We start from the raw sequence: 20,629 nt of genomic DNA, 5'->3' as shown, positions 1-20,629 counted from the left end.
ATTATTCATCTGATAGAAACTAATATCCAGAATATGCAAGGAACTCAAACAGTTCAACAGCCAAAAAAAACTTAATAATCCTACTAAAATATGGGCAAAGTACATAAATAGACATTTCTCTAAAGAAGACATACAAATGGCCAACAGTTATATTTTTAAAATGCTCAGTATTTCTAATCATCAGCGAAATGCAAATCAAAACCACAATGAGATATCATCTTACCCCAGTTAGATGGACTATTAATAAGAATTAAAAAAAAACAGATGTTGGTGAGGATGCAGAGAAAAAGGAGCTCTTATACACTGTTGATGGGAATGTAAATTAGTATAGCCACTATGAAAAATAACATGGAGATTTCTCAAAAATCATACTATCCAGCAATCCCATTGCTGTGTATTTATCCATAAGAAAGGAAATCATATCAAAGGGATACCTGCACTCACATGTTTATTGCAGCACTATTCACAAAAGCAAAGATATAGAATCAACCTGAGTGTCCACTATTGGATGATTGGATAAAGAAAATTTGTATATACACACAATGTAATACTATTCACCTTTCATTAAGAAAGAATGAAATCTGGTCATTTGCAGCAACATGGATGGAACTGGAGGTCACCATATTAAGTGAAATAAGCCAAGCACAGAAAACAAATATTGCATGTTCTCACTTGTATGTCGGAGCTAAAAAAGTGGATCTCATAGAAGTACAGAGTGAAATATTAGGTTGGTACAAAAGTAATTGCAGTTTTTGCCATTTAAAAGTAATGTTAAAAGTAATAGTTACCAATTGGCAAGAATGTGTGTGTGTGGGTGGGTAGAGGAATGGATGGGCATAAATTGGTACAAACATACAGTTAAGTAGAAGGAATAAGTTCTAATGTTTGATAGCAGAGTAGGATGTCTATAGTTAGCAGCAGTGTATTGTATATATATCAAAATAACTAGAAGAGAGGGCTAGAAATGTTCTCAACACATAAAAATGACAAATACTCAAGGTGCTGGACACCCTAAATACTCTGACTTGATCATCACACATTCTATGCATGTAACAAAATACCACATGTACTGCATAAAAGTGTACAAATAGTATATATTAATTACAAAAAAAAATCGTGTGGCTACCAAAACTCATTATTTCAGGTGCTAGCAAATGTAGTCACAACCAAGACTAGGCTTGAACTCTTCCTTTCAGCTTCCTGACAGCCAAGTAACGGAGTGAAAGGTCAGATAATTTACTTAGACCTGAGACTGCCATTAATATTGTCAACAAATTGCTTTGATCTACAGCTCATTAGCTTTGGTTGGAATTGCTAAGCAAATAAGCCAAAGTGAAATTTTGTTCTATCCAATGGCCTATCTAGTACCTTAACCCCAGACAACCTTCTTACATGGTGATCACAACTAAGCTGGTGAATGGGCATAAATCTTTTATTGCTACCAGAAAAAAAAAAAATCAAAGTGCAAGCTCTATCAAATGTAAGTGAATGCCCATGATGTGTCTAGCATCTATACACTGTGTTCTAGAAGTATGTTAATTTGGCTTAAAGAAAAACTATAAATTCTTTGTCTTCATTCAGAAATCAGTAATTCTCAAAAGGGAAGGTAGTTTATAACCCCTAGGAAGATCAGTGATTCTCAAAAGGTGGTACGGTTTATAACCTCTAGGGGTCACATCCGAATCTCCTGAGGAAAATGCTGAACTATGCAATCCCTTCTCAACTTTCCCCTAGAGACAGATTCTAACAACATTGTCTCCTATGAAAGATTTCATGATTACTGTCATGAATCACTATTATTGATGGGAGAAAAAGTTTATATCAGGTATATTGAGATGCAAAAGGAAAAGAATCACTGTTATAAGCTGAAATTGTTGATGGAAGTGCACAGGAAACAAAACAGCAGCAAGATATTACACAATTAGCTGACATGTATAGTGACATTTTTGCCAGATTACACACAAAAAAATATAACTGTAGTTTTTTCATGAGCCAAATTTCAATAACAGCTATTAAATGGTATTTAAAATGCATCATTTATAGAAATGACCTTTTTCAGAAGAACTGGAAAATTTTAACTCATATATACTAGCTGAAGGAAAAAAAGGTTCTTGCTTATATTTCAATAAGCCCTCTCTGCATTGAGAAAAGAACATTGTTGACTACCTTTTGTTTCTTGGCTTGATACTAGTTCTCTAGCTTTCTTCTTTTTTTGTTTTCTTTTTTTTAAATACACAATTTTTACTAATGCAAACCTCACATTGACTCAGATGAAAGAGGCAACAGAATTTCTGGATACCGTGTACCCTTTAGATAATGTACCTCAACAACGATTCAGTTTCTTTTTCTAATTTTGCAGATCATTTAACAAAGTGTACAGCTGAAAATGGTTTGTGTAAGTGGTTTTTCATCTGTAAGCTTATTATATTTCCTTTGAAAATTGTTCTTTGTGATTTCAACATCTTCTGGGGGTAGGGTGGTGACATTTTATATATATAATATATATTTTTTTTCCTCTCTCTCTCTCTCTGTATGCCTTTTAAATCCAACAGTCACTTCTCTTTCCTCGTGATAATCACTTCTTTTATGGACTGAAAGCACTTTGTGCTTTTTCCTCTGTAATCCTAGTTGATTATACAGTATCTTCATTGTTGCTCGGTGTATAAGTCTTCGAGGTTTCGGCTGCACTGTCCAAATCATGATGAGCTTCAACCATGGCCACTGACGAAACCTCAGGCATTTCGGCTGGTATTTTGAACAAATTTATTTACTGCCTTTATTATAATGTTGTCGGACAGTTGTGCATCTAGATGATCTGGTGGAGTTTACACTTCAGAGGCACTGGGAATGCCAAAGATTTATTTGCCTCTCATTCATTAAGAAGAAAAAAGAAAGAAAATGTAACTAATTGAAGAGTCTGGATGACAATTATCTGTTTGTGAGTATTTTCTCCTTGATCTCCTCCTAATTTAAACCAATATAATGCTTAACCAATGCCCATTCACATTTCACAGGTATTTGTTTTGTTTTTTTTAAAACAACTAACTCCTCCTATACATAAAGGGGAAGAAAATAGAAATATTTTTAAAACCCTGGAAGAACTTTTAAGTCCTAGAATATTAAAGGAAAGTTGCAGATAAGTTAACCTCACACGTGTGCTACTAAATTGAGATAAATTACAAAAGGAATTATTATAACATGGATTCACTTCTGACCTTTAAGGTGGAAAGTATAAGAATGATATTAAGTTTCATGAATTGTACATGTTTTAATTATTGTTGCATTATGCTTTAAAAGTATCTTTCCACTGGACATTCTTAAATCAAGGTAAAAACTACATTAAAATTGTAGTTGCCATTATATTTCTTCTCATTTATATGTATATCAGAAAAAAAATATATGTATGTTTATATTTCTTTTTACATTTGCCATCACTGAAAAGTTTTTATAATATCACAGAATACATCAAGAGTAGATTATTTTATTTCTTCCACTGGTAAACTTGATTATTTTCAATAGTTTTCTTCATTGAAAATTGCCACCTATCACTTGTTGGTGATCTTTATCTGAATGTTACTATTCAGAAATACAACTAAAACTTTGTCACTTTTTAAGGAATGAAATTCTTTTTGGGGAAACTATCTATTACATGTAAATTTGTGATATAATGTTATTTGTGGCTTGAGAGTATAATGAAGATGTTAGATTTACACAGAAATATTTTCTCAGTATGACATCAGGGTTGACAGTATATTATTACTTAATAATATTAAAGAAATAAAGGCACAAATTAGAAGATAATTTTCTCATTTTTAAAATTCTTTTCATGAAAATAACCTGTGAACCCTTGAAAAAAATATTTGTTTTAATACTGATTTAAGACATTATTGGATTATGTGTGATTATAGGAGCCCAGCATATTGCAATTCATGCTTTTTTGAGCTTTTAAGTGTTGCTATCCTTGTGTGCCCTCTGTGCTTACATGTTGAAAATTATTCATGTGACATTCAGGCTGTTCTGAGGGTCATTTGATGAAATTGTTGGTGCATCCCATGGTGCAGGGCCCAAACCACCCAATCTTTCTTTAACAATTGCACTTTTGCAAAGAGGCATGATGGTCGATGCTGGGAGGCTCTTAAATTGAGAGAATATAGACCAATTCAGAAATAGTTTTGCCACTGAGTTTGTGTAACCAGCTTGGATAGCCAGATACATCTTCTTTTTTTTATTATTATTCTTAAAAATCAGATAACAGTATTTACTAGTTAAGGCTATTCTAAGGATTAAGGGAAGGGAAATGATGATCTGCTATTTATAGAGTATCGACCATGAATAGGGCATTGTATTTGGTGTTTGAAAAGCTCTGTTTGCAGGTCACACTTTAGGTACTGTTGGTTATGTTAATAGCTCAACTTCAGAGAACTTCTAACAAAAAGGTGGTTACTGTAATTTTATTACAATTCCACTGCTAAGTGTGGAGACATAGCCCCATTCACGAGGTTTACTCTTTGCAACTGGAGAGTAGCATTCTAATGACAAAAGAGGCTGAGAAGTTATTCATACCTCTTCAGATGAAGAAATGTTTGTGCATTCCAATGCTAAATTTTGCTGTTGCTATAACAAGAACTAAATAAGATTCAGATTTTGTCAGCCTCTGAATATTTTGGAGTTAGCCAAAGGGAAAAAAAAACACCTTTTTTTTAACTCATTGGTAAAATTCAGGAGCTGCAAAATAAAACAGGTACTACTAAAATTCTATCTGTTGCTTTTGGTTGATCACCTTATAGAAAGAAATGAACTATCAACCCCAGATGGAACACATATATCTATTAGTAGGCAGATAAATCCAAATAAAAACCGTGACAATGTATTTAAAATAATTTTGAACAGAAAGGATTCCCTACTCTGGGTACCACAAAGTTTTTAGAACTTCCCCTGGATAATTGAGGTTGGTACACATACCCTAAAGTAAACAGCAAGTAACTTCTCTACATGGTTGTCACAAAACCCATGGACTTTTATATATGGATATATACATATATAGATAGATATATGCATTCATATTATATATATATATAAAAGCATACATTTTACATATATATAGATAGATATATGCACACACACACACACACACACACACACACACACACACACACACAGGAAAAGATATGACCATGGTAGGCATGAGGATGGCCAAGGGAGGGTGTAACATCTAAAAAAAATCATGGTAAAAAGAAGTAAAAGAAAACAGAGAGAAAATGTACCAAGAAGAGGCAAATAGAATTTGTAAACATGTGGAAGTTCAGGGCTATTTGCATCATGCCAAGTCCTCGCATTCCAGTGACCCTTGCAGACATTACTGTTATAGCACATTAATTGTTATGGATACTTGGATATTCTGTGCCAAAACTATATAGTTAGTTTCTAATCACTGCAAACAATAAATAATTCTACTGAAAACATTTAGGTTTTTTTAAAATGGGAAATTAACTAACAAAAAGTAGTCATCAGGTTAAGTGATGAATCACATAAGATAAACCGTAATTCTTAAAAAGTGTAGATAAATGAAGTTATTTCTTATTTAGCCTATTTTTTCTTTATCTTTCATCTATCTTATCAAAATGGATAAAATCACTTTCAGCCAAATTATAACATTTATTGTAGGACATATTACCTCAAATTTGTAGCCAAGGGTAAATATTGTATTTAAGGTAAAGACGTGTATCTTAGGTTTTCTGTTTTGTTTTGCTTGTTTTCATTTTTTGGTTTACTTATTTACTCATTTATTAATGTATCATTTCTAACTTCCTGAAACACTGGATTGAAAATGTGTTCTGGACCCTATGTCTAAAAATGTTAAAGTTGTGTGATTATTTGGAGGAGGATTATATTAGCTTTTCCTAGTATTTTCTTCCTTATGAAATCAGGTTGACCAGGACAAAAGAACAATCCTATTGATGCATTCTGCCTTGCAGAGCAAGGTGTTCACAGGAACCTGTGTGTGCAGGTCACAAAGCCCTTGATTGGTGAGTGAATGAGCGGGATTGACAGTGGAACTCAGGCTGAAGGACTCTTTTTGCTATTTATACATAGAGTAACAATCTACCACAAGACTGTTCTGCTCAAAGGCAAACAGATTCTCTTCCATTAAGATAAGACTAATGAACAAATTCTAACACTGGCCAAAATATTTGCCATCATGTTTTCTCCAAGTACAAATCTAAGAAATTAATTACTTTATCTTTAGAAAAAATTTTCCTCTGCTCCCTACAGAATTTCAGACCACATTTTCCTGGTGTGGCTTCCTTTCCCAATAAAATGTTGGGTACATACTTTTGTAAATTCAAATATCCAAGGTCAGCATAAGCTCTTTAGCCAGTAACAATAGAGCTTCATTCCACAACATTTTTAGTTGTCTTTGGGGATACCTCAAGTGCTGAGAGATGAGTTAGTCACATTCTGTAGTTAATAATGTTCAGTCATTAGCTGTCTGGTCAGGCCTCTCTCTTCTTTTCCTTCATAATGTTTTTTCAGTTCATTCTTGACCTCATTTCCATTTCGCATTACCCCACAAGCAGCCATTCTAATGAGCTTGATATATGTTATTGAATATATAAATATCTTTGAAAAATACATAAACTCATTACATGCATGCATGTTTTAATTTAGATAAATGATATTGTGCAATAGATTTCATTCTCTGCCATACTTTTTATTCACTTAACATGCTTTTTTTCTTTTTCTTTTCTGAGATGGAGTCTCACTCTGTCGCCCAGGTGGAGAGCAATGGCGTGATCTCGGCTCACTGCAACCTCTGCCTCCCAGGTTCAAGCCATTCTCCTACCTCAGCCTCCCGAGTAGCTGGGATTACAGGCGCCGCCACCAGACCAGGCTAATTTTTTGCATTTTTAGTAGAGACTGGGTTTCACTATATTGGCCAGGCTGGTCTCGAACTCCTGACCTCATGATCTGCCCGCCTTGGCCTCCCAAAGTGCTGGGATTATAGGCGTGAGCCACCTCACCTGGCTCAACATGCTATTTTTAAGATGATGCTATACGTGCTAATTCACTGCTACTGACCATTGCATGTTATTCCATAGTGTGCATTGAATACATTTTATTTATTTGTTCCCTAATAATAGAACTTGTTTGACACCAGCTCCTAGCTCCCACAAAATACGTGGGAGACCCTATCATTGGATCTAGGGTACACCCACCAATTTCTCCAAACATTGCTAACTGACTGCATCAGTCCCAGATTCCCACTAACCTTGTACAAAGGCTCCAAGTCTCACTGTCCCCCCAACACCTAGTATTATTGAAAATTATAATTTTTACAAACCTCATGGGTATAAAGGGATATCTCATTTAAATTTGTGTTTTTCTGGTTATTAGTGAGGGTGACCATTTTACCAAACATTGTTAGCCATTTGAAGTTCTCTTTTATTAATTGTGTTTTCAAATCTTTTCCAAATATTTAAATTTGTTTTACCTTATAGCCTATTCACATTTTTTTTAATGTAAAGTGATTGGAAAAAATTAGGATGGTTACCTATCTAGCATCTTTTGGCTTAGAAGATGGCCTAGAAGTTGGAAATTAGATTACTTGGGAAATTTTTCAGATCGTGAGGACTATTAAATATGGGTTTGAATCATAGTTTTACAACTTAATTGTTGGGTGAATTAGAGCAAGATACTTTTTCTTTGTGTGTCTCTGGCTGGCTGTGTGTGTGTGTGTGTGTGTGTGTGTGTGTAAAATGGGGGAAATAATTGGGACTTATTGTAAGGGCTTGCTATTTTCTATAAGATGACTTATATAAAGTTTGCAGTATAGCACATGGACAACTGCAGGTGTTCCATAAAAATTAGTTTCTTCCTATTCTGTATGATATGCATATATGAGGAACTCAGTAAATAAAAGCTCACAGTATTGATGTCACCATCATCATCATCATTGTTTGGAAGTATTTAGGAAAAGCCTTACCTGAAGATGAGTATAGACCATCTGTCTTCTTAAGATCTTGTCCAGTCCTATGTATTCATAGAATTCACTCACACAAATTTGCCTTAGTGGTGATGAGTTATCAGATTTCTTATATTCCCTTGAAGCCTTGGTAAATTGCTGATGTTTGTCATTTTCTTAAAATCTTGTAATTTCTTCAGATGTTTTCTGTACTGATTTGAAAATCACCAAATTAAACCTAAAAAAAAAATCCATACAATTTAACTAAGGCCATATTCCTTCCATCTTGTCTTTCTCCTTCCTTCTTTCTCTCTCTTCCTTTCTTCATTTCTTTTCTTTTCTTTCTCTTTCTTTCTCCTTTCTTTCTTTCTCCTTTCTTTTCTTTCTTTCTTTCCTTCCTTCCTTCCTTCCTTCTTTCTCTTTCTTTCTTTCTCCTTCCTTCCTTCCTTTCTTCCTTCCTTCCTTGCTTCCTTCCTTCCTTCTCTCTTTCTCTCAGCTAGTTTTATAGCTTATTTATAACCAAACACCTTGTATTACTTACCTTTGCTGTTTAATAAATTACCCCCAAACTTATTATCTTAAAACCAAACACTTTTATTATCTCACACTTTCTGTGAGTCAGGAGACTGGGCATGGCTTAGTTGAGTCCTTTACTTATTGTCTCACCAGTCTTTAAACCAGATGTCAACTGGGCTGAGTTCTCATCTGGAGGCTTAACTAAGGAGGAATCTGCTTCGAATAATAATCTCATTCAGATTATTGGCAGAATTCACTTCCTTGCAATTGTAGGACTGAGGGCTCTGGCTTCTTGCTGGGTGTTGACTGGAGGTTACCCTCAGCTCCTAGAGGCCACCCTCAGTGCCCAAAGGCCACCTGCAGTTACTCATCACACAGGCTTTCCTAACACAGCTGCTATTGTAACTTCATCAAGCCGGTAAGGAGTCTCTAGAGCAGTCTGCTAGCAAGACAGAATCTTATATAAATGTAACATAATCACAGAGTGACACCTGATGACCTTTGCCATATTTCATTGGTTAGAAGCAAGTCACAGGAGCTTCTGGCCACACTCAATGGGAAGGAATTACCCAAAGATGCGAACACCAGGAGGCAGAAATCTTGGAGCATTTCTGCCACATGACTCAAACACCACCATCTGCAAGTAGACAAACAAAGACAAAGACAGGAGACTCTGCTGAATAGTGTTATGCTCTGTCATACTTATTTAGAAATTTTAAAATTTGTGAATTAGGTAACTCTTCAATTCTTCACATTTAGTTCTGCTTCTATCTCTTATTCCTTATCATTCATTTGCTATTCCATTTTTCATATCAATTTCTATATGAGTCCCTCCCTCCATCTCTGCTTCCTTCCTTCTTCCTTTTTCTGCAAATGCTTATTTATCCCTGTTTATATTTGCAAACACTATTTTAAATACTGGGGATACAATGATGAAAAAAATGCCCAGTCAGTCTTAATCTTCACAGAGCTTATAATTAACTAGGGAATCAAAATTATATAGACAATCCCAAGATATTGTCACAAACAGGATCACAGAGCAAGCCCAAAGTGATGATAGGGCTACCCCACCTGGGAGGGAACCCAACCCATTCTAGAGGGGAAAAAAGACTTCTCAGCGGATATGACCTCAAAATTCTAGTTAAAAACGTAGTATAGTAATGAAGTAGTGGAATGTGGAAATCTGTATTGAGGACTAAACATTAATGATCTAAAGAGCAAGAAGAATTGCCTTTATTTTCACATGTTTGCTTGAAATTGTAGCTTAAACCTCAATCAATAAGTACATGTAGTTCTACTGATGCATTAGTAAAAAAAATCTATAAACAAACCCAGTGAAGATTATATTGTAATATCATTTAATAAAAATTATTATTAGCTATCTAAACTTGGGCAAACTCTTCACTTTTTGTATTAGGCCATTCTTGTGCTGCTATGAAGAAATATCCGAGACTGGATAATTTATAAAATAAGAAGTTTGGCTCACAGTTCTGCAAGCTGTGCAAGAAGAATAGCAGCCTCAGGAAGCTTCCAATCATGGCAGAAAGCAAAGCCAGGTGTGGTGATGGCTCATGCCTGTAATCCCAGCCCATCGAGAGGCCAAATGGGGGCAGATCGCTTGGCACAAAATTTAGAGACTAGCCTGGGAAACATGGCAAAACCCCATCTCTACAAAAAAATACAAAAATCATCTGAGTATGGTGGTGCATGGCACAAAATTTAGAGACCAGCCTGGGAAACAAGGCAAAACCCCATCTCTACAAAAATAATACAAAAATCACCTGGGCATGGTGGTGCATGCGTATGGTCTCATGTACTTGGGAGGCTAAGGTGAGAGAATTGCTTAAGCCTGGCAGCTCAAGGCTACAGTGGGCTATGATTGCACTATTGCATTCCAGCCTGAGTGACAGAGTGAGACCCTGTCTCAAAAAGAAGTCAAGGGAGAGTAGGCACATCATGAGGCAAAAACAGAAGCAAAAGAAAGAGAGTTGAGGTGTGAGGGAGGTGCCACACACTTTTAAACTATGTGATCTCAGTGTTAACTCAGAGCTCACTTATCACCAAGGGGATGGCCCAAGCCATTCATGAGGAATTTGCCCCCATGATCCAAACACCTCCCACCAGGCTCCACCTCTAACACTGGAGATTACAATTCAACATGAGATTTGGGTAGGGACAAATATTCAAACTATCTGACTTCTCTATGCTTCAGGTCCCTTATCAACAAAATGGGTGGGTATTGGTCATTTCTAAGGCATTTAACTAGTTCAAAACTCCATAAATCTATGAATCTGTAGGACATGAAAATGGCATGTTATGCTAACAAGAATGTTGCTCTTGGAAGATACTTTAGCCGAGATCCAAACGTAGGTCTCTCCTCCAGTCAAGGTAAGGCCTCCCTCTACTAGCAAGACCTTTGTGTGAATTATCAAAAGGCGCCGCCTCCTCACGGATGCATCACTGAAAGGCATCCCTTCTGCAAGACACAGGACTTTTCAAGAGCTGTGAGGGTTGGATTTTAGGCACCCCAGATGCTCACATGCAGAGCAGAAAAAAAGTACATGATGGTTCTGATATCAATGTTATTTCTGATCTAGTTGTGACATTTAAAGTTCCGGCTTCATGAGAAATGACAGATGTTCTGGCAGAGGTGTAGGCAATGATTTGTCCATGGTCACTACCAACCTTATATACATATAAATTCCTGAACACTGCAGCTTAGGAAAGGAGGTCCTCTTGGATTTTAACAATATTTTCCTTGGCACTTAACATTTTTGTAGGCAGAATTGTGTGTTTGCATTTTAAAAAATCTATTTTAGTTTTCTCTTTAGCCAGTCTTTTTTCAGGCTTTGGTATAATTATACTTAAGATGTTTTGGGCACAGCAAAATGATCAGATTTACAATGCACAGGCCACTGTCTATTGAGGTAGATTTACCATTCACCCCTTCTGGGTGAGGGCTGCTGTCACAGCCCCTCCTCTGCTGCGGAGCTGACAGACTGCATTTATTGCTCTTCCTGGGATCCCAGACACCCCTCTTCCCTTCTCCTAGGGACTTACTACCCACGGCTCAGCCTGTGACTCATCTCCCTAGAGTAGGTTGCACCACTGGCTGTCTGGTGGCTATTCAAGAGTCATTATTTATACCTGTTTAAATCCCCACTGGTCTCAAAGGCTCAGAGGAGGCGAGTCCCACCCCACAGATGTCTTTCTTTTAGATAGAATTAACTTAGGTTTTTAAATGTCCTAGAAGCTAAATACCTTCTTTGCTGCCTCACTAACTGACAGATGGATGGATTGTATTTTTTTTGTTCAATTTTGGCACTGTACTAGGTCGCCATGGGTTGGGCAGATCCTGAAGAGAACCAACTTGAGTCTGACAGTCCTTCCAGAACACGGCACCCACCTCCACCATATAACACAGCCAAGTACGTCCTTAAAATGAAAATATAAAATGGGAATATTATATATAAATGTACATATTGGGCAATTAAATAAAATAAACCACCTCTCTGACAACAGAAATTTATTGAGAGTGAGCTTAGAGAGATAGTCATCTTTAATCATCACTATCATCAATATCATAATGGCTAATATTTATTTATCAATCATTTACAATCTGCCAAACATTTGCTAAGCATTTTTCTGAATTGCCTAATTTAATCCTAGCTAAGTTGCTATTTTATTTTAAGGGCAGTCTCCTTTATTTTACAAACAATTTTCCAATAATTAATTAGTAAAAATGTTTAAATGACTCTGTATATGGTTTTTAAAATGGGATTGATGAATATGTATTTACATGGAAAGATGCCCAGGAGACATTTTAAATTGGGAAACGAACAAATCAAAAAAGCTGTTGCAAAAGATTTTCTTTTCAACAACTTTGAACTTTCTGCAAAAAAAAGATTTTGTTTTTCATTTGGAAATAGAAAATGTATATTATACATGTGTATATCCCATTATATAAAAATGATATTTACATACAAGGAATAATTGGTTACATTGTAATATGGTTAATTCTAAAGAATGGGATGGAAAAGAAGGAAGGGGGTGAACTCTCTTCTTTCACTTTACTCATGTCTCTATAATTTATTTTAACAACAAACACTATATTGATTTTTGTAATAGAGAACTTTTTAAGGTAAAAGTAAATGAATAAAAGATGTCATAGCCTCATCAAGTTCTAAGCTTTCTTTATACTACCCAAATGAGTGTTTCATCTAAGCTCTGAAGCAACAATGTAATGGCAAGCCTATAATCAATCATTCACAGTTGACTAAAGTTAAGTAAACCTAACAAAAGCAAAGAAGTCTGTATCTATCTATTTTTAATTGACCTAAATATAGATTGATCATAGTAGAGCATGCTGGCAGTTAGCCAGTTCCTTGTAATAATTTAATGGTGATGATGATAATTATGACCAACATTTATACAGTGATTCTCAGATTTACAGATTGAAAAGCAAGCTCACTTATAGGTTTCATCTGACCCTTATAGTGACCCTTTTAAGGAGATATTTTATGCTAGTAATAAAAACAGTCCTATATTAAGCACCTGCATTCCCAGGTGCCAAGCCCTGTACAAAGTGGACTACATATGCCATCCCATTTAATCCTCAAAAAGATGCTACGGATTAAGCATGTGTTAGGTTCAGCAGCAAGTTAGAGAAAATAAGTAACAACAATGGCTCAAAAAAATAGAAATGCATTTCTTTCTTTTCTAAAACCCTGGGCTTTGGTGGCGATTCCATGATCAGGAGAGACCCAGGGCTCTGCTCTTGTTCTACTGTTCTCAACACAGTTTACATTTCATGGTTCATGATGACTTCTCTAGCTCCACCCATCATGTCTGAATTCTAGCCATAAGGAAGAAAATAGCATTCTCCCTGCTTTTTAAAAGGATACTTCCTGGAAGTTACAGACACCGCTTTTATTTTGACCTCAGTGTCCAGTATTTAACCACATAAACACATCTAGCTGCAAGAAAGGGCTGAAAACATGGACTTTTTTCTGGGCATCTGTGTCTAGCTAACTTTTGGTGGTTATTTACTGATGAAGAAGGGGAGAATGGATATTGGGATAAAACTAGCAGTCTCAGACATAATATATTATTATTCTCATTCTACAAGTGAGAAGCTAATGAATATATCCACCATTACAAAGCTAGTAAGTGATAGGGTTAAGTTTGTTTGACTCTGAAGTTTATCTCTTTCCACCATAGTAGACTGTCTCTTACACTGTTAGTTGATTTATTTCCTAAGATAGTTAGAATTCAGCTAATCAGATATAAAACACTTTTTAAACAAAAGGCCAACTATCAAAATTTTGCTTTTGGCCTGGCTACCTATTTGCTACATCAGCTAGTGGGCTTACTAGAAATAAGCAGGTACCCCATACATGTGTAATTTTGGTTAATACATAGTTTAAAAATAGAAGTTTCTAGAATAAATTATAATCTTCCCATCTAATAGCTGTAAATGTGACATTCAGTAAAGAATAATAAGGAAATCTTTGGATAAAGAGGAATGACATCTCTATACCCATCAAGACTGGCCTATATCTCAATATAAGAAACTGTTTCATGTAAGATTGCATTAAAACAGATAGGGGGTTGGAATGACACTTGTTTAATGATTATTGCAATAACAGTGTAATACAGTTACATAATTAATTAGATGCTAAACGCTGTGTGTCTAAGAGTTTTATGCTGTAACAGAAGTAAAGGAGATTTGTGTGTGGCTACAACTGTGCTGTCTATTGAGCACTTGAAATGTGGCTGGTCCAAATTGCAGTGTGCTCTAAGTGTAAAATACACACAGGATTTTGAAGACTTAGTATAAAAAAATGTAAAATAACTCTATAGTTTTTATGTTAATTACACGTTGAAGTGATATTTTAGATATATTGGGTTAAATAAAACATAATAAATTTAACTTTATTTTCACCTATTTCTTTTTACTTTTTAAATGTAACTACTAGAAAAATTTAAATTACATATATGTAGTTTGCATGAGAAGCTCATGTGATGTACACTTTTTGAACAATGATGGTCTACACAAAGAGAAGCAAAGGAGAAGACAAGGACAGAGGGTCTTCACCATTGTTCAAGAAGAAAAAAAAAGTTCTCACTGTGGAGTGTCTTGAATCTCTCAGTCACTGGAGAGGGGACCTTGTTTCTGGGTCACAGTACTTCAACAGGATTTCTAAAAATGTATTTCAGGCTCTCTGAAAATTCATCCCATTCTCTTTTAAAGAACTCACCCTCAGGAGGGAAGGGAGGAGTTGAGGCAGAGAAATTTCCAATAACTAATTTGGTTTCCCAGATCTTCCAATAGAGGAAGGAGTGTCTAGGGGAAGCAACCAATGCCTTGTGGTTATTGGAAAGAATATGCCCCACTGGAAGCAAATGCATTGATTTTGAATCAATTATAGCACTTTTTCACTGCAAATAATAGAAAAACTGGCTTAAGCAATGAGGAAACATATTGTCTCAACACTAAGTCCAGAGATAAAGTAGGCTTCTGCTCCATTTTTCTGCAGTTTCTCAGGCTCTGCTTTTCTGGATATATTGGCTTTCTTTTCAAGTTATTTTTTATTTTTTTATTTTTATTTTTATTTGTTATTTTTAAAATTTCAAATTTTTTTAAATAACATGAATTCGTGGATTCATTTCTTCTTATTATTCTATTTAATTTTTACCACACTCTTTATCATTAAAACTTTCCAAAAAATAATCACACAAACTATTTTGCAGGCTTTTGTTGACCTTTATTTATTTATTCATGTAGTGAATATATTTCTTGAGCACCTACAATGTGCCAGACATAACACAATTCTTGTTCTTAAGGAGTTTGCCATCTCTCATTAGATAGAATAGACAAGTACACACAAATCATATTTCAAGTTTGTCAAAACGATAAGTTTCTTCCGTAGACTTAAAGTTACCGAAATTCAAGTCCAAAACTTTGTCTTTGAAATCCATTGGCCAAATTGGGTGGAAGAACCAGCCTGGTCAGTCCAAGCCATTCCTGAGAAGGGACTTGTATCAGCAGGTTTTTCTGTTCTTCAGTCCGTGCTTTGGATCCTTCAATGACTAATGCTTGTGGAATTGTATGATGAATCTTGCCAAATATCTTTGTCAAAGAAAGAGAGTAAGGCTTTAATTTTCTGTGAAATTCTGTTTTTCTTTTTGTCCAGGTGAAACACTAAGGAGGCTCTGTAAGGCATGACTCTGAAGAAGGCCACTATCTTTTACTGCCGTGACACCATTTCTCAGAACACATCACATGGCCCCTGAGTGGTCAGGAGTCCAGAGAAAAACAGTCAAGCCCTCCTTTAATAGTAAAATTTTTGTCTGACCCTCTCAAGTGGCTATGTAGATCTCTTGCAAATTGAACCAGAAGGTCTTTGGTTCAAGTTCCTGACTTAGCAATTTTGTATGTTATCTCACATACCATGATCAGGTTCTTTGTGGAAGTTCTCTCTTTAATTCTTCTTGAAATAGGTTTGTTTTGTTTTGTTTTTTTAATGCCTATTTGAAATCTGAGGAAACAAAAGCTCAGAAAGTGACTGGGTCCTTGACTTCCCAGCTCTTTACTACAGTCACTGGGGAACACAGTGACCCCATCCCTAATCGCTTCTTCAAGCGGTGCAAGTGACCCAGGAATTCCCCGGCCATTGCACAATGAACTTTCCATACCTTTATTGGGAATTCAGTTGTGGGGAGGAAATCAAGGCTTTCAAAAACATTATCAGTAGACAAAAATGAAGCCCCATCTGCATTTGAATTTTCTAGTTTCTCAGTGTCAGGCATTGAATTGTCATGGTTTGGCTCCCACTCGTTTTCTGCTTCAACGCTCAACAAGAAGACATGGAAGTGCAGCATCACCTAGAATTCACTTGGTAAATATTGTTGAAAGAAAGAATGAATGGATGCATGAATGAATGAATGAGCCCAGGTTTTCTCATCCTAGAGATTGCTATGAACTTCTGTCTTTAAAGATTGGTTTAATTTCAGGCCCATCTCAGAAAGAATAACCAGTTGGTGTGATGAAAAGTTTTTACGTATGGGGTTTCATTCTAGAGCTCTTATTACATTTCATTACCATTCTCCAGAGCAGACTTCTTTTTTTTTTTTTTTTTTTTTTGAGACAGAGTCTCACTCAGTCGTCCAAGAGTGGCGCGATCTCGGCTCACTGCAAGCTCTGCCTGCCGGGTTCACGCCATTCTCCTGCCTCAGCAGAGCAGACAATTTTAACTGAGGATTAGGAGAGCTCAAAATATCTTTAGCATGCCTCGATTTTCCCACACTTTTGACCAAGATACAGGAAAGAAAACAAAAAGTAGGGAGAATGACTAGCGAACTCTTAATTCTTCAGGTTGGAAAGAAATGCATTTCCTGTGAGTTGGAGAAGGTCCTTCCATTCTTTGCAGGTGAGTGGACAGCAGAAGCATTTTTCTTGGTATTCTAAGTAGAAGTGGCCCTGGAAGCCACTGAATTTTGGTTTTCACCAGTCAACTGACTTTGGTTGTCTTATGGGAAGTGGACCGCTAATCACGAGTGCCTCTCCTGGGGTATGCCATAAAATCCTCCCACTCCATTTCCTGGCACTATAAGCCCCTTGTTTTGACAGGTAGATCTTACCTCGTGATACAGATAATTGTTCCAATTTATGCATAATGTTTTTAGTGGTAAATTCATAACACACCATGTAGTGTTTAGAGCAGTGTATTGATAACACACACATACATATGTGTAGCTAAAGACTAATAACTTTCTATTTTGTCATTTACAACAATTTGCACTCATTAATGATTTTTTTCCCAATATTTATGATCCAGAGGTAGAGTCATTACAAATAAAGTGAGGGACCTATGGCAAGAGAGGGTTTGCTTTTCCCCAAACTACTCTCTATCATACCCCCTGACATCCTATCTCTATCTCCCTTCCCTAATCTAAAAAAAAGAAAACCACAAAATGTCTCCTAAAGATGTTTGTCAATGATTAAAATTCTACCATCAGTGGCATTTTTCCTTTGACAGACTGCATCTCTTAATGGTATATAAATTACTCTGGAGAAAGGTTAATGTTGTGATGCTATTTAGCCTTTCATGTTGATGGTGAAGAATGCATAGATCATGAATCTGCTAAATAAATCCTCACAGTGGTATTGGTGGTAGGTGAGACTGCACCAGGCAATTTTGAGTATCATGGGAAATTTTTGTCTACTGAACATTGTGGGCAGGGTTGGCACTCAGATTGTGCTTCTTGCTTTTTGCTCATGGCTATGGAAGAATAGAAAAGTGTTATATAATCATGAAAAGCACTTGGAACGACTCCTGGTACTATCAGCTTTGTTGAAATTTGTACTGACTTGAGTTATGTTAACTAAAGTCTAATTGTTAAAATATTTATTATCAGAATGTATTTCTGATAATGTTTATGCAATCAAGAAGTGGCAAAGTTGGCCTAAGAAGCCTAATGTATCTGATTCTAGATACAAACCTTATTGTTTTGGAATCATATACATTAGGCTTTTTAGGCCAACTTTGCCACTTCTTGATTGTATAAACTTCAACTCTCAGAGCCTCATTTTCAGTTAAAGTCTATTTAAGTCAAGAGTAGTCTCCCATTATCCACAGTTTCACAATCTGCAGTTTCAGTTAGCCCTGGTCAACCTGATAATATTAAATGGAAAATTCCAGAAATAAACAATTCTTAAGTTTTAAATTTTGTACCCTTCTGAGTAGCATGATGAAATCTCGTGCTGTCCTGCTCTGTCCTCCCTGAGACATGAATCCTCCCTTTGTCCAGAGCCTGCACGCTGTACACACTACTCACCTATTAGTCACTTAGTATCTGTCTTGGTTATCAGATTGACTGTCCTGGCAGCCCAGCGCTTGGACTCATGTAACCTTTATTTTACTTAATAATGGCTCCAAAGTGCAAGAGGAAGGATACTAGCAATTTGAATATGCCAAAAAGAAGCTGTCAGTTGCTTCCTTTAAGTGAAAGATAAAAGTTGTCAACTTTAGGAAGGAAAAGAATCATATGCTGAGATTGCTAAGATGTTCTATCTGTGAAATTGTGAAGAAGGAAAAGAAATTTCTGCCAGTTTGGTTGTCACATCGCAAATTGCAGAAATTACAGCCACAGTGCATGCTAAGTGCTTGGTTAAATGGAAAAGGCATTAAACTTGTGAATGGAAGACATGAACAGAAGTGTATTCCAATTGATGGCCATCAGGTGTGGTACTCTTCTAGGTTTCAGGTATCCACTGGGGTCTTGGAACTTATCCCCCATGGATAAGTGGGGGACTATTGTACCTATTTTATAATATTAGTATAGCATATTGTATAGTACTTTATAGTATTACATATTAAGTAAGATAATGTGTGGTGGTTATTTAACACAGTCTAGATTTACTTAAATAATAAAGGTAACAATGATGATAATGATGACTATAGATGGGACTTTAACAGATGCATGTCAAGGTTTTACTCTTTTCAGTTGCTGTATTAGTATTAAAAGAAAACCTCTTAGGTTCCTAAGTAAAGACATTTTTGATGACATGGTAATAAAATTTTTGAACATTAATGTCTTTTGACATGATAAGTCCAAATCTATACCTATTCCCAAGGCCCAACCTGGATCTATTATTACTAAAGATATTAATACATGCTTTGAGTTATTTGCAATATAAGTAAGTCAGATGCTACATATCGTCCTCTTTCCTTGACAGTCTGTGAGCTCCTTGAGTTCCATCCTGCATACTTTTTAGACTGTGCTTCCGTTTTGACTTCAATCATTTTCATAGAATTAACCTACAGTGATTCCTTACCCTGTATCCATCCATATACCCAACTACCTATGGTTGTCTCCATCTGAATGCCCCTCCCCAGCCCACCCTTACCTTCTCAGAGCCTTAAGAATTTGGTTTAGGTATCACCTCTTCTAGAAAACTTACCTTTCATATATAGTTCAAGAGTTCCTCTTCTGAGTACTTACACGTTACATTACATACTTCATGTAATGTGACTAGTTGGGAACACACATGCTTGATATATAATTAGTATATCATGAATAGTTAAAGTCACTTCGTCCTTTCAACCATTTCTATTTTCACACGCATATGCTCCACTTACCTTATTTATATTGAACACGTCTTACAGATTACTAATTTACTTATCTATGCTTAATGCATCTTCTGAGCTTCACCCATCCTGTTTGTTTTCTTGCCTTCTACAGCCGAATTAATTACTTGCAAATACACATTACAGATTATGTATTTTTATCATTCGATACCACCAATTTGAAATATTATCTCTCTTGAAATTTACCCTTGACAGTTTACCCTTTGAACCTAATCCAGGTATTAAAGATTTCTAATTTAAAGGAAAAACAATTTGTTCCTTTAAGTCTCAAGGTGATTTACAGAAGTCAAGTTAAATGGCACCTTGGTTAACTACTTAAACCTCTCTGAGCTTTAGTTTTCTCTATCATAAAAATAAGATTTTGTATCAGATACATGTGAATGCTGCCATTTCAGCCTCAGGGGCACGGGAGGATGTTCACATTTGGATGGTTTAGCAGATCATATGGAGTGAGTATCTCTCAGGTCTAAGGATGAGTGGAGAGGGTTGAATATCTAAATCAGTACAATGAAAAATACCCTATAAGGCTGGACATGGCAACTCATGCCTGTAATCCCAGCACTTTGGGAAGGTGAGGAAGGAGGGTCGCCTGAGTCCAGGAGTTTGAGATCACCCTGGAAACATAGTGAGACCCCAAAATTTAAAATTTTTTAAATTAAAAAATTAGCCAGACATGGTGGCAGGCACCTGTCATCCTAGCTACTTGGGAGGCTAAGGTGGGAGGCTCCTTTGAGCCCGGGAGTTCGAAGCTGCAGTGAGCTATAGTTGTATCACTGCACTCCAGCCTGGGTGACAGAGCAAGACCCTGTCTCCAAAAAAGTAAGATACCCTATAACACAGAAAGAAATGCTTGCTGCCATGTGGAGTTGCTTTCAAAGCTTTAGTGCAGTAGGCCTAGCCATGCCTTTTCCATAACCAGTTAGTAAGTAAGTGACCTGCTGCTGCATAAGGTGACCAACCATTCTGGTTTGCCCAGGAGTCTCCTGGTGTTAAGAGT

At 36.2% G+C, this 20,629-nt stretch overlaps 1 annotated feature.

Annotated features, from left to right (window-relative positions):
* Positions 3,983–4,798: an enhancer, noted in NCBI's record as "NANOG hESC enhancer chr2:166700603-166701418 (GRCh37/hg19 assembly coordinates)". NCBI's record gives its function as "activates a minimal SCP1, AML or CMV promoter by ChIP-STARR-seq in naive H9 embryonic stem cells {active_cell/tissue: H9 hESC(naive)}" and the evidence as "EXISTENCE:reporter gene assay evidence [ECO:0000049][PMID:30033119]".

Source organism: Homo sapiens, chromosome 2 (assembly GCF_000001405.40).
Source record: "Homo sapiens chromosome 2, GRCh38.p14 Primary Assembly".
NCBI classification, from domain to species: domain Eukaryota; kingdom Metazoa; phylum Chordata; class Mammalia; order Primates; family Hominidae; genus Homo; species Homo sapiens.
Note: the sequence above shows the minus strand (reverse complement) of the source record. Positions and strands in the feature narration are given on the sequence as shown.